At 56.1% G+C, this 13,257-nt stretch overlaps 1 protein-coding gene across 4 annotated transcripts; it reads left to right on the top strand.

Moving 5' to 3' along the window:
* TMC4 (transmembrane channel like 4) lies at positions 5–13,057 on the top strand. 4 transcript variants are annotated; one of them, XR_935741.3, is made up of 15 exons: positions 5–126; positions 1,064–1,295; positions 3,505–3,653; positions 4,485–4,717; positions 4,873–4,994; positions 7,599–7,746; positions 8,564–8,731; positions 9,278–9,441; positions 10,006–10,132; positions 10,395–10,492; positions 10,880–11,063; positions 11,905–12,035; positions 12,132–12,287; positions 12,555–12,698; positions 12,791–13,057. XR_935741.3 is itself a non-coding variant. In NM_144686.4 (15 exons), the coding sequence occupies exons 1-15, from the start codon at positions 48–50 to the stop codon at positions 12,857–12,859; spliced, it is 2,121 nt and encodes a 706-aa protein (NP_653287.2). In that variant the 5' UTR covers positions 5–47; the 3' UTR covers positions 12,860–13,057. The 4 variants fall into 4 exon arrangements, 3 of the variants coding, with proteins under 3 accessions (NP_653287.2, NP_001138775.2, XP_011524788.1); NM_144686.4 differs by having other exon boundaries at positions 1,082–1,295; positions 12,620–12,698; NM_001145303.3 differs by having other exon boundaries at positions 12,620–12,698.
* Positions 13,058–13,257: the final 200 nt, after the last annotated feature.

Below are 13,257 nucleotides of genomic sequence, written 5' to 3'. Positions count from 1 at the left end.
GGGCAGTGTCTGCCTGGTGGCCACTAGAGACAGCCCAGCCTGGGGCCATGGAAGAAAACCCGACCTTGGAATCAGAAGCCTGGGGCTCCTCTAGGGAGTGGCTGGCCCCCCGGGAGGCCAGAGGAGGTAGGGAATGCCAGGAGAAGCTCAGATCCATCCGACCTTCAGGCTAGGTGGGAGTCCTGCTGGAGGAGGAAAGGGGAGGCCTGGCCTCCTGAGTCTGAGGGCTAAAGAGAGAAGGTTCCACTTCCTGATATTATGGGGGAGAAGGGAACTGGAGGCTGGAACTCCAGGGTCTGAGGAGGAGGAGCCTGGAGAACCAGGCTAGTCTGGGAGGAGGGGAGGGCTAAGGGCTGGGAGTTTGGGTGTCTTGGGAATAGGAGAGGCTGGGTTCCCACACTCCTGAGCTAGAGGGAAAAGGAAGTTAAAGCCTGGACTCCACTGCCCTGGAGTAGGAGGGTTCCACGCTTGGGGATGGAGTTGAGGGCTGTGGACCCCTGGGTCCAGGGGAAGTAGAGGCTGGCACCCGGACTCCTGGGCCTGAGGGAGGAGGGGCTGGGAACCTGGTTTCCTGGTCTGAGGGAGGAGGGGCTGGGTGCCTGGATTCCTATGTCTGAGGGAGGAGGAGCCGGGGGCCTGGACTCCTGGGTCTGAGGGAGGAGGGGCCGGGGGCCTGTTCTCCTGGGTCTGAGGGAGGAGGAGCCGGGGGCCTGGACTCCTGGGTCTGAGGGAGGAGGCGCCGGGGGCCTGTTCTCCTGGGTCTGAGGGAGGAGGAGCCGGGGGCCTGGACTCCTGGGTCTGAGGGAGGAGGAGCCGGGGGCCTGGACTCCTGGGTCTGAGGGAGGAGGAGCCGGGGGCCTGGACTCCTGGGTCTGAGGGAGGAGGAGCCGGGGGCCTGGACTCCTGGGTCTGAGGGAGGAGGAGCCGGGGGCCTGGACTCCTGGGTCTGAGGGAGGAGGAGCCGGGGGCCTGGACTCCTGGGTCTGAGGGAGGAGGGGCCGGGGACCTGGTTTCCTGGTCTGAGGGAGGAGGAATTAGGGCCCAGACTCCCGGGTCTTCCCAGCCCCCTGCTCCTCCCCAGGCCCATCGCTGTCTTCTGTGCTGAACGAGCTGCCCAGTGCTGCCACCCTTCGGTACCGAGACCCTGGGGTGCTGCCTTGGGGGGCGCTGGAGGAGGAGGAGGAGGATGGAGGAAGGAGCAGAAAGGCCTTCACAGAAGTCACCCAGACAGAGCTGCAGGACCCTCACCCTTCCCGGGAACTGCCCTGGCCCATGCAGGCCAGACGGGCACACAGGTGAGGCCCCACCTCCAGCTGGGACCCGCACAGCCCGGACCGGGCCCTTCTCCCATACCCTGGACTCGGTCTCCTCCCTCTGTCCTCTGCCGCTCCTGGCTTCTGGGGCCTCTCTCTGCCCCGCTCAGAGCTGCCTCTCTTGGTTTCTTTCTTCCCCTCATCTTTGTCTCTACTTCGGACTCCAGGTGAGTGCTGCCTTTCGATGGCTCTGGGGTCTCTTCTCTCTGGGATTTGCCGTCTCCCTGGTCTCCACCAATCCTGTCTCTGCCTCAGTTTCTCTCTGTGTGTGTGTCCAAAATCTGTTAATATTTATTTCTCTCTGCTTTATACCTTCCTTCATCTTTGCCTCCTCTTCCAAGCCTCCCTCTCTTTAACTTCTTTCTTTTCCCATTCTCACTGCATAATTTGCAGGGCCTGGTGAACAATGAAAATGCAGGTGCCCTCCTTCAAAAATGATTATGGGCCCATTGCAGTGGCTCACACCTGTAATCCCAGCACTTTGGGAGGCCCAGGCGAGTGGATCACCTGTGGTCAGGAGTTCGAGACCAGCCTGGCCAACATGGCAAAACCCCAACTCTACTAAAAATACAAACATTAGCTGGGTGTGGTGGCGGGTGCCTGTAATCCCAGCTACTCGGGAGGCTGAAGCAGGAGAATCGCTTGAACCAGGGAGATAGAGGTTGCAGTGAGCCAAGATCGTGCCATTGGACTCCGGCCTGGGTGATAGAGCGGGACTCCATCTCAAATATATATGCGTATATATATGCATATGTGTGTATATATATACACATATATATGTATATATATGTGTATATATATGGAAAAAACAATAAAAAATAACAATGTATCAACACTCCCACACCGATCAGTAGTGGGATCATGCCTGTGAATATAGCCACTATACTGCGGCCTGAGTAACATAGCGAGACCCCCATCTCTATTTTTTAAAAGTAATAATCAAAGTAACAATATGACAAAAAATAATACAAGTTAAAAGAACAGCTATCTATATAACATTTACCTTGTACCGGGTGTTATAAGTAATCTAGAGGTGATTTAAAGTGCATTGGAGGGCTGGGTGTCGTGGCCCATACCTGTAGCCCCAGCGCTTTGGGAGGCTGAGGCGGGAGAATTGCTTGAGCCTGGAAGTTTGAGGCTGCATTGAGCTATGATTGCACCACCGCACTCCAGCCTGGACAACAAAACGAGACATTTGTCTGTAAAAATCAGATAAAAATTAAAATAAAATAAAATAAAACAAACACAGGAGGATGTGTGTAGCCTGTATGCAAATACTATACCGTTTTATATAAGGAATTTGGGCATCTACAGATTTCAGTATTCTTGGGGAGTCCTTGAACCAACCCCCATGGATACTGAGGGATGGCTGTATTCATAAAGTGAGAGCCCAGATAAACTCCAGCTAGGGCAAGTGACACGGCATGACAGCACCCTGTGCGTCCCTCCCCTGACACCCCCTTTTTCCTCACAAATACAAGGTAACCTCTTCTCCCTAACCTTTTTTTTTTTTTTTTTGACAGAGTCTTGCTCTGATGCCCAGGCTGGAGTGCAGTGGTGCAGTCTCAGCTCACTGCAGCCTCCGACACCTGGGCTCAAGCGATCCTCCCACTCCAGCCTCCTGCTTTTCTGTAGAGCTTTGCAAGCTGTGCTCTGCAACGTTGTGCAAATAGAATCATACAGTCTTCAGTCTTTTGTGCTGGCTTCTTCTGCCTAGCATTAGGTTTCTTTCTTTTCTTTCTTTCTTTCCTTTCTTGGAATCTCACTCCGTCACCCAGGCTGGAATGCAATGGCGCCATCTCAGCTCACTGCAACCTCCACCTCCCAGGTTCAAGCAATTTTCCTGCCTCAGCCTCTCGTGTAGCTGGGATTACAGGCACCCGCCACCAGGCCCAGCTAATTTTTTTTTTTTTTTGGTATTTTTAGTAGAGACAGGATTTCACCATGTTGGTCAGGCTGGTCTCGAACTCCTGACCTCAGGTGATTCACCCACCTCGGCCTCCCAAAGTGCTGGGATTACAGGCCTGAGCCACTGTACCCAGCTGGTTTCTTTTTTATTGCTACAGAGTATTCTATCTTATGTATAGGCCACAATTTACTTCTCCATTCTACTGTTGGATTGTGTCTACATTCAGATGGTTCCCAGTCTGGGGCTGCGAAACCCCTCATTTTCTGCCTGTTTCCCTCCCAGGCAAAGAAATGCCAGCAGGGACCAGGTGGTCTATGGCTCTGGAACTAAGACGGACCGATGGGCGCGGCTACTTCGGAGGTCCAAGGAGAAAACAAAGGAAGGCTTGCGAAGCCTGCAGCCCTGGGCGTGGACACTGAAGAGGATCGGGGGTGCGGTGGGGTTTGGGTGGTGTCCTGGGGGCAGGGCCTGGACTCCTGGGTCTGAGGGAGGAGGGGCTGGGGACGGACTCCTGGGTTTGAGGGAGGAGGGGCTTGGGCCTGGATTTTTGGGTCTGAGGGAGGAGGGGCTGGGGGTCTGGACTCTTGGGTCTGAGAAAGGCACGGCTGGGCCTGGCGCGGTGGCTCACGCCTGTAATCCCAACAGTTTGGGAGGCCGAGGTGGGTGGATCACCTGAGGTCAAGAATTCGAGACCAGCCTGACCAACATGGTGAAACCCCCGTCTCTACCAAAAATACAAAAACTAGCTGAGCATGGTGGCGCACGCCTGTAATCCCAGCTACTCGTGAGGCTGAGACAGGAGAATTGCTTGAACCCAGGAGGCGGAGGTTGCAGTGAGCCGAGATCGCGCCACTGCACTCCATGCTGGGCGGCAGAGCGAAACTCCGTCTCAAAAAAAAAAAAGAAAAGAAAAGAAAAGAAAAAAAAAAAAATATATATATATATATAGAGAGAGAGAGAGAGAGAGAGAAAGAAGAAGGAAGGAAGGAAGGAAGGAAGGAAGGAAGGAAGGAAGGAAGGAAGGAAGGAAAGAAAGAAGAAAGAAAGGAAAGAAAGAAAAGAAAAGAAAAGAAAAGAAAAGAAAAGAAAAGAAAAGAAAAGAAAAGAAAAGAAAAGAAAAGAAAAGAAAAGAAAAGAAAAGAAAAGAAAGAAAAGAAAAGAAAGAAAGAAAGGAAGGCGCGGCTGGACCCCAGTCCAGGGGTAGGAGGGGCTGGTCCTGCTCCCGGGAAGGAACCTGAGCCTCTCTCTGCTGCCCCCTGCAGGCCAGTTTGGCGCCGGCACGGAGTCCTACTTCTCCCTGCTGCGCTTCCTGCTCCTTCTTAACGTGCTGGCCTCTGTGCTCATGGCCTGCATGACGCTGCTGCCCACCTGGTTGGGAGGCGCTCCCCCAGGCCCTCCCGGCCCCGACATCTCCTCGCCCTGCGGCTCCTATAACCCCCACTCCCAGGGCCTGGTCACCTTTGCCACCCAGCTCTTCAACTTGCTCTCGGGTGAGGTAGGTGCCTGGGTCCCTGGGGGATTCCCCGCCCACCTGTGACCCCAGTGCCTTCAATGACACGAACCTCAAACCCTGACCCCAGACCCTGACTGTGCAGCTCCAGGAGCCCCGCCTCCTCCCACAGTGGCCCCTGCGCCGCCTTCCCCCCACAGGGTTACCTGGAATGGTCCCCTCTCTTCTATGGCTTCTACCCGCCCCGCCCACGCCTGGCGGTCACCTACCTGTGCTGGGCCTTTGCCGTTGGCCTCATCTGCCTCCTGCTCATCCTGCATCGGTCAGTGGCACCTGCACCCCTGACCCCTGACGGGACGGGTTGGGGTGGGGAAGCAAGTGGTGGTGGCAGAAACCCCCTCCCCAAGAATCCTCAGTCTTTTTTTTTTTGAGACGGAGTTTTGCTCTTATTGCCCAGGCTAGAGTGTAGTGGCGCAATCTCGGCTCACTGCAACCTCCGCCTTCCGGTTTCAAGCGATTCTCCTGCCTCAGCCTCCCAAGTTGCTGGGATTACAGGCGCCCGCCACCACGCCCAGCTAACTTTTTTGTATTTTTAGTAGAGATGGGGTTTCACCATGTTGGTCAGGCTGGTCTTGAACTGCTGACCTCGTGATCCACCCGCCTCGGCCTCCCACAGTGCTGGGATTACAGGCGTGAGCCACCGCGCCCGGCCCCAGAATCCTCGGTCTTGCTGTGTAACCCTTTATTCTGTGTGAGTTAAAATCAAGGTTTTGGGCCAGGAGCGGTGGCCCAGGAGGTGGAGCTTGCAGTGAGCCGAGTTTGCGCCACTGCACTCCAGCCTGGGCGACAGAGAGAAACTCCATCTAAAAAAAAAAAAAAGATCAAGGTTTTGGGATTTGTTTTTGTTTTTCATTTGTTTTGTTTGTTTGTTTTTGAGACAGAGTCTTACTCTGTCGCCCAGGCTGGAGTGCAATGGCACGATCTTGGCTCACTGCAACCTCCACCTCCCGGGTTCAAGCGATTCTACTGCCTCACCCTCCCAAGTAGCTGGGTTTACAGGCTCCGGCCACCACGCCCAGCTAATTTTTTGTATTTTTAGTAGAGACGGGGTATCGCCATGTTGGCCAGGCTGGTCTCGAACTCCTGATCTCAGGTGATCCACCTGCCTCGGCCTCCCAAAGTGCTGGGATTACAGGTGTGAGCCACCGCACCCAGTCTGTTTTGTTTTTTGAGACAGGGTCTCACTCTGTCACCCGGCTAGCGTGCAGTGGTGCAATCATAGCTCACCGGAAGCCTGGGCCTCCGGAACTCAACTGATCCGCCTACCTCAGCCTCGGGAGCAGCTGGGACCACAGGGGTGCACCACCATGTCTTGCTAAAAATTTTTTTTTAATGTTATAGAGACAGGGTCTTGCTATGTTGCCCAGGCTGCGCTCAAACTCCTAGGCTCAAGAGATCTGCTCACCTCAGCCTCCCAAGGTGCTGGAATTACAGGCATGAGCCAATGTGCCTGGCCAAAAGTCAACTTTTTTTTTTTTTTGAGACGGAGTCTCGCTCTGTCACCCAGGCTAGAGTGCAGTAGTGCGATCTCAGCTCACTGCAACCTCCGCCGCCCGGGTTCAAGCAATTTTCCTGCCTCAACCTCCCAAGTAGCTGGGATTACAGGCATGTGCCACCATGCCCGGCTAATTTTGTATTTTTAGTAGAAATGGGGTTTCACCATGTTTGTCAGGCTGGTCTCGAACTCCTGACCTCAGGTGATGCACCCGCCTCGGTCTCCCAAAGTGCTGGGATTACAGGCGTGAGCCACCACGCCCGGCAAAGAGCCTCGATTTTAAGAGAAGGGAAAAGCCCTGGAATAGGTCTTAAACAGGGGAATACGGTCTGAGTTGCATCAAAAGAAGGTCCCACTGGCTCAAGAACTGAGAATGGATTATATGCGGGCACAAGTGGAAGCAAGGAGACCATGTGAGGGCCCTCTGTGGTTGTTCACATGAGAGATGATGGGGGCCGGGGCCAGGGCAGTGAAGGTGCACATGGTCTCTTTGTCCAGTTCTGTTTCTGCCCCTGCTGGGGTTCTCTATCTCCTTCCTGGGTCTTTGCCCCCCTCTCTTGAGTCTCTTTACCTGCCCGTCTTCTCTGGGTCTTTTTTTTTTTTTTTTTTTTTTTGGAGGCGACCTCCACCTCCTGGGTTCAAGTGATCCTCCCACCTCAGCCTCCCAAGTAGTTGGGATTACAGGCATGCACCACCACGCCTGGCTAATTTTTGTATTTTTAGTAGAGACGGGGTTTCACCACATTGGCCAGGCTGGTCTCAAACTCCTGACCTCAGGTGATCCTCCCCCCTCGGCCTCCCAAAGTGCTGGGATTACAGGCGTGAGCCATGGCGCCTGGCCTGCCCCCTCTCTTGAGTCTTTACCTGCCATCTTCTCTGGGTCTCTGTCTTCTTCTCGGCTCTTCCCGCCGCAGCTCCCTTCTCTGTGTGCCTGTACTTCTTATGGGTCTTTGACCCCCATCTTTTGTAGATGTAGTTTCCCCTTTCTCACTGTCTTTTTCTCCCTTTCTCCGAATCTCCCTCTGGGGCCTCTGTCCCTCCTCCACATCTCTGTCTTCCTCAGGGCCTCTGTTTCTCTCACTCTGGGTTTCTGCCCCCTTCGCTCCGAGGCTCTGTCCCTGTCTCCTAGGTTTCTGCCTCTCTTTGGGGTGCCTGCACCCCAGAACTGTCTCTGAATCTCCCTTGGACTTTGCCTTCAATGACTGTGTCTCCGCCTCTTTGACTCTTTCCCCATCTGGTCTGGTGGGAACTCGCCTAGTACCCAAGGCCTTAGGGTTCATCTTCCCCATTTGTCCCAATATGAGGGGTCTCCCCATAACCCCCGTTCCTGGCTGTCCTTTCACTTCCCGTCTCCCGGGTCTCCCCTCTCAGCTCGGTGTCTGGGCTGAAGCAGACACTGCTGGCGGAGTCCGAGGCTCTGACCAGCTACAGCCACCGGGTGTTCTCGGCCTGGGACTTCGGTCTCTGCGGGGACGTCCACGTGCGGCTGCGCCAGCGCATCATCTTGTACGAATTAAAGGTGCGATTAGGGAGCGGGGTCTGCAACTGGGTAGGGACCAGACAGGACCGGGCTGAGATAACGCACAGGGCCTAACTCGGTGATGGGGCCTCCGGAGAGATGCTAAGCAGCTCCTTCTCCAAGAAAGGCAGGTCCTGGGGAATGAGAAGGTTGAGAGGAGGCCGAGATAGGGCTGCCCGAGCTCCAAGCGTGTAGGAAAAGGATGCGCCAGGGCTGGGATCGGTGGCTAATGCTTGTAACCCCAGCACTTTGGGAGACCGAGACAGGTGGATCGCTTCAGTCTAGGAGTTCGAGACCAGCCTGGGCAACATAGGGAGGCTCCCTCTCTACCAAAAAAAAAAAAAAAAAGTTTGTTTTTTTTTAAGTAAGCACAAGAAGCGGGCGGGGCCTAAGGCAATTTGGTTCAAAGTTAAGTGATGGGAGCGGCCAGCAGGGCGTCTTGATACAGCTGAACTGGAACTTCAGGCCAGGAATAAAGCGCAGGGCCACCTGGGGGCGGAGCCTCTGATGGGCAGGGCTGACCAGGGGCGGGTCTTGGGATGCTGGGCGGAGCCTCAGGGGCGGGGCCTGGGGTGCTGAGATTGACCGCGGAGGGATGGGGGCTTGGGTTGCTGGATCCGGCCGCGAAGGGGCGGGGCTGTAAAGGGCCGCTGGTTTCCTGGAGCAGGTGGAACCAGGACTGCAGAGGTTGTTAGCGGGTGGGGAGACGGCTGCATCAGTTCACGTTAAGGAGGATCTCTGGAGAGCCAGACCTGGGGAACCGGGAGGCCCGCGCCTTGGGAAATGGAGTCCAAGCGGGCATCTCTCCTGCCTTCAGGTGGAGCTGGAGGAGACAGTGGTGCGGCGCCAGGCTGCGGTGCGGACGCTGGGCCAGCAAGCCAGGGTTTGGTTGGTGCGGGTGCTGCTCAACCTGCTGGTGGTCGCGCTCCTGGGGGCAGCCTTCTATGGCGTCTACTGGGCTACGGGGTGCACCGTGGAGCTGCAGGTGCGGACGGTCTTGGAAGAGGAAGCCAGGGGGTCCTGGAACCTACATTTCCAACGGTGGAGGGAGGGGACGGAAGTTTGGGATGCCAGAGATCTTAGAGAGGAAGTATGGGAGAGGGTATGTTCGGACCCTGGACTTAGGGATTTTAAAGGAAAAAGAGAGGCTGGGCGCGGTGGCTTACACCTGTAATCCCAGCACTTTGGGAGGCTGAGGCGGGCGGATCACGATGTCAGGAGTTCCAGACCAGCCTGACCAACATGGTGAAAAACAGTCTCTACTAAAAATACAAAAATTAGACGGGCGTGGTGGTGGGCGCCTGTAATCCCAGCTACTCAGGAGGCTGAGGCAGGAGAATCACTTGAACCCGGGAGGCAGAGGTTGCAGCGAGCCGAGATCGCACCGCTGCATTCTAGGCTGGGTAACAGAGCGAGACTCTGTCTCAAAAAAAAAAAAAAAGAAGAAGAAGAAGAAGAGGCCGGGGGGAGGACCTTAAGCTTGGCTCCTCCAGGACCCCAAGCCTCTACTCATGGTCCATCCCGCTCCCAGGAGATGCCCCTTGTCCAGGAGTTGCCACTGCTGAAGCTTGGGGTGAATTACCTTCCGTCCATCTTCATCGCTGGGGTCAATTTTGTGCTGCCGCCCGTGTTCAAGCTCATTGCTCCACTGGAGGGCTACACTCGGAGTCGCCAGATCGTTTTTATCCTGCTCAGGTTCCAGCCTCACGGGGATGGCTGGGAATGATGAAGGGTGGGGGCGGTCAGAGGGATGTTGGCGCTGACAGGTAAGACACGGAAATCCTGCTGATACCGAATCCAGGGATTCAAATCCTGACTCTGTTGGCCAGGTGCAGTGGCTCACACCTGTAATCCCAGCACTTTGGGAGGCCGAGGCTGAGGTCAGGAGTTCGAGACCAGCCTGACAAACATGATGAAACCCCGTCTGTAGTAAAAATACGAATATTAGCCCGGCGGTAGTGGCTTCTGTAGTCCCAGCTACTCGGGAGGCTGAGGCAGGAGAATGGCTCGAGCCTGGGAGGTGGAGGTTGCAGTGAGCTGAGATCGCGCCACTGCACTCCAGTCCGGGTGACAGAGTGAGACCCTGTCTCAAAAAAAAAAAAAAAAAAAAGAAAGAAAGAAAGAAAGAAATCCTGATTCTGTCACTGGGCCTCAGCTTCATCTGTGAGATGGGTTGAATGCGGGCGCGTTCCACTGAGAAGGGAACTGCCACATGGTGGGTACCGGGTCAGGGCCCATTCTCTGCCTTCCCCCCTTCAGGACCGTGTTTCTTCGCCTCGCCTCCCTGGTGGTCCTGCTCTTCTCTCTCTGGAATCAGATCACTTGTGGGGGCGACTCCGAGGCTGAGGACTGCAAAACCTGTGGCTACAATTACAAACAACTTCCGGTGAGAACGGCATGGGTGTGCGTGGGACTCTTGGGTCCCTGAAGGAAAGATGGAGCTGGGTGGGTCCAGACTCTTGGTTTGGGCGGAGAGGGGAGCTTGGGGTGCTGGAACACTCTCCCAAGGGTATGAAAGTTTGAAAAACGAGGACCCCCAGAGAAAGTATTGACAGGGTCTCATAGGCTTGCGATGTGGAGACTCGGACGCGTGGGCCTCCAGGTGCCCGGGTCCCGAGTTCTTTCTGATATATTTCTTCCTTCTTCAGTGCTGGGAGACTGTCCTGGGCCAGGAAATGTACAAACTTCTGCTCTTTGATCTGCTGACTGTCTTGGCAGTCGCGCTGCTCATCCAGTTTCCTAGAAAGTGAGAGCCCCGCCCCTTGCTGTGGCCCCGCCCCTCTAGGACGAGGCCGTGCCCCATCGCGCTGTTCTTTTCACCGCGCACCTTTTTACCATTCCCGCCTCTGCCTGCTCCCTTTGCTTGCCCTAGGTCCGCAGATCTCCCCGCTCCCCGCCCTTGTTTTAGTGGGTTACTTCCCTCTGGCCCCGACGGCGGCGACATCTGGGTCCCTTCTAGTCCTCAGGACCCGCCCTCTGGACACACCCCCTCCACGTGGAGTCCTGAAAGTCCCGCCCCCCCCCCCCCCACCACCAATACGCATGCTTCCTATTGGCGGGCGGGGCGGTGGAGGCGTGGAAACTCCAGGCCGCCACTCCCCTGACTCCGGCCCGGCCCCGCCCCGTCCTTCAGGCTCCTCTGTGGCCTCTGTCCTGGGGCGCTGGGTCGTCTGGCGGGGACCCAAGAGTTCCAGGTGCCCGACGAGGTGCTGGGGCTCATCTACGCGCAGACGGTGGTCTGGGTGGGGAGTTTTTTCTGCCCTTTACTGCCCCTGCTTAACACGGTCAAGTTCCTGCTGCTTTTCTACCTGAAGAAGGTAAGGGGTAGGGGGGACCCTTGGGTCTGAGGCAGGAGGTATTGGGGCCCGCACTCCTGGGTCAAGGGCAAGGAAGATCCTGGGGGCCTGGATTACTCGGTCCTGAGAGAGGAGGGGGTTGGAGGACAGACTACTGCATCTGAGAGGAGGGGTCTAGGGCATTCTGACTTATATGTCTGAGGATCTGGGGACTCAGACTCCGGGGTCCTAGATGAGGAAGGGGCTCAGACTCCTGGTTCGGAAAAAAGGAGAGGCAGGTAGGCCGGGTGCAGTGGCTCACGCCTGTAATCCCAGCACTTCGGGAGACTAAGGCGGGTGGATCACCTGAGGTCAGGAGTTTGAGACCAGCCTGGCTAACATGGCAAAACCCCGTCTCTACTAAAAATACAAAAAAAATTAGCCGGGCTTAGTGGCAGGCGCCTGTAATCCCAGCTACTCAGGAGGCTGAGGCAGGGGAATTGCTTGAACCAGGGAGGTGAAGGTCGAAGTGAGCCAAGATCGTGCCACTGCACTCCAGCCTGGGCGACAGAGCGAGACTCCGTCTCAAAAAGAGAAAACAAACAAACAACAACAACAGCAAAACAAATTAGCCGGGAGTGGTGGTGCACACCTGTAATCCCAGCTACTCGGGAGGCTGAGACACGAGAATAGCTTGAACCCGGGAGGGGAGGCTGCAGTGAGAGCCACTGCACTCCAGCCTGGGCGACAGAGCGAGACTCTGTCTCAAAAAAAAAAGCCTGGGCGACAGAGCGAGACTCTGTCTCAAAAAAAAAAAAAAAAAAAAATGGAGGCACAGACTCTTGTGTTTCAGAGCCCTTTTCTCCGTGCCTTCCCCCACCAGCTTACCCTCTTCTCCACCTGCTCCCCGGCTGCCCGCACCTTCCGGGCCTCCGCGGCGAATTTCTTTTTCCCCTTGGTCCTTCTCCTGGGTCTGGCCATCTCCAGCGTTCCCCTGCTTTACAGCATCTTCCTGTAAGTGCGAGAGGCTCCCGCCTCTCTCCCTCCCTCTCTCCCCATTCAGTGTTCAGACTCCTGGCACTATGTGAGCCCAGCCTGTCTTGACTTCAGGATCCCGCCTTCTAAGCTGTGTGGTCCATTCCGGGGGCAGTCGTCCATCTGGGCCCAGATCCCTGAGTCTATTTCCAGCCTCCCTGAGACCACCCAGAATTTCCTCTTCTTCCTGGGGACCCAGGCTTTTGCTGTGCCCCTTCTGCTGATCTCCAGGTGAGACGGCCCAGACTTCTGGGTCTGGGTTTGAATGCGTGTGATCTGGGGGCCACCACCTGCGTCCAAGAGAGGAGAGGCTTGGGCGTGGGAGCAGGCAACGTACTGAGTCTGAGGGAGGAGGCCTAGGCTCCTGGACTGCTGGGTCCGAAGGAGGAGGTGGGCGGGACGTAGGACTCCTGGATCTGAAGGCGGAGGGGCTGGGAGACTGAACTCCTTGAGCCCAGACGAGGAGGGGCTTAGGCGTCCACATCCCTGGCTTCGAAGGAGCCAGACGTTTGGATATAATGGAAGAGCGTGTCAGGAGTGGCTTCCGTTCCTGTCTCCTTCAGCATCCTGATGGCGTACACTGTGGCTCTGGCTAACTCCTACGGACGCCTCATCTCTGAGCTCAAACGTCAGAGAGAGACGGTGAGCCAGGCGGGTCCCTGAGAGGGCCCCTGGGGAACATGGAAAGGGGTTGGGGAAGAGGATTGTCTCACCTCCACCTCTCTTTGCCCCAGGAGGCGCAGAATAAAGTCTTCCTGGCACGGCGCGCTGTGGCGCTGACCTCCACCAAACCGGCTCTTTGACCCCCGCAGCCCACGTCCCGCTTTCAGACCCCAGGCCCATTGTAAGCCTAGGTCACAACATCTGTAAACTAGGAGAACTGGAGAAGACTCCACGCCCTTCCAGCTTTGGTATCTGGAGATTTCCAGGGCCCCTCGCCGCCACGTCCCTGACTCTCGGGTGATCTTCCTTGTATCAATAAATACAGCCGAGGTTGCTGAGCGCGCTTTGAAATCTGCGTCCTGAAGGTGGGGGCAGGGCTACAGCGGGGCAGGAGCCAATCAAATGTACGGGCATGTTTGTCGGTGCAGAGCGCTCTTCCGCAAGGAGACTTGTCGGTCATGTCGGCCAATCGACGGCCGCATCTGGTAGCATCAGGGGCGGGCCAACTTATGATTGGTTCAGATCTGTGACAAGAGGC

The sequence above is a fragment of the Homo sapiens genome, chromosome 19 (assembly GCF_000001405.40).
Source record: "Homo sapiens chromosome 19, GRCh38.p14 Primary Assembly".
NCBI classification, from domain to species: domain Eukaryota; kingdom Metazoa; phylum Chordata; class Mammalia; order Primates; family Hominidae; genus Homo; species Homo sapiens.
Note: the sequence above shows the minus strand (reverse complement) of the source record. Positions and strands in the feature narration are given on the sequence as shown.

What these genes read in the sequence shown, in the direction of transcription:
- TMC4 (NM_001145303.3), top strand. Translation starts at nt 48, where the DNA reads ATGGAAGAAAACCCGACCTTGGAATCAGAAGCCTGGGGCTCCTCTAGG. An exon ending in GACACTGAAGAGGATCGGGG is followed by an intron (nt 3,654 to 4,484) that starts GTGCGGTGGGGT and finishes TGCCCCCTGCAG; the next exon opens with GCCAGTTTGGCGCCGGCACG. An exon ending in ACAATTACAAACAACTTCCG is followed by an intron (nt 10,133 to 10,394) that starts GTGAGAACGGCA and finishes TTCCTTCTTCAG; the next exon opens with TGCTGGGAGACTGTCCTGGG.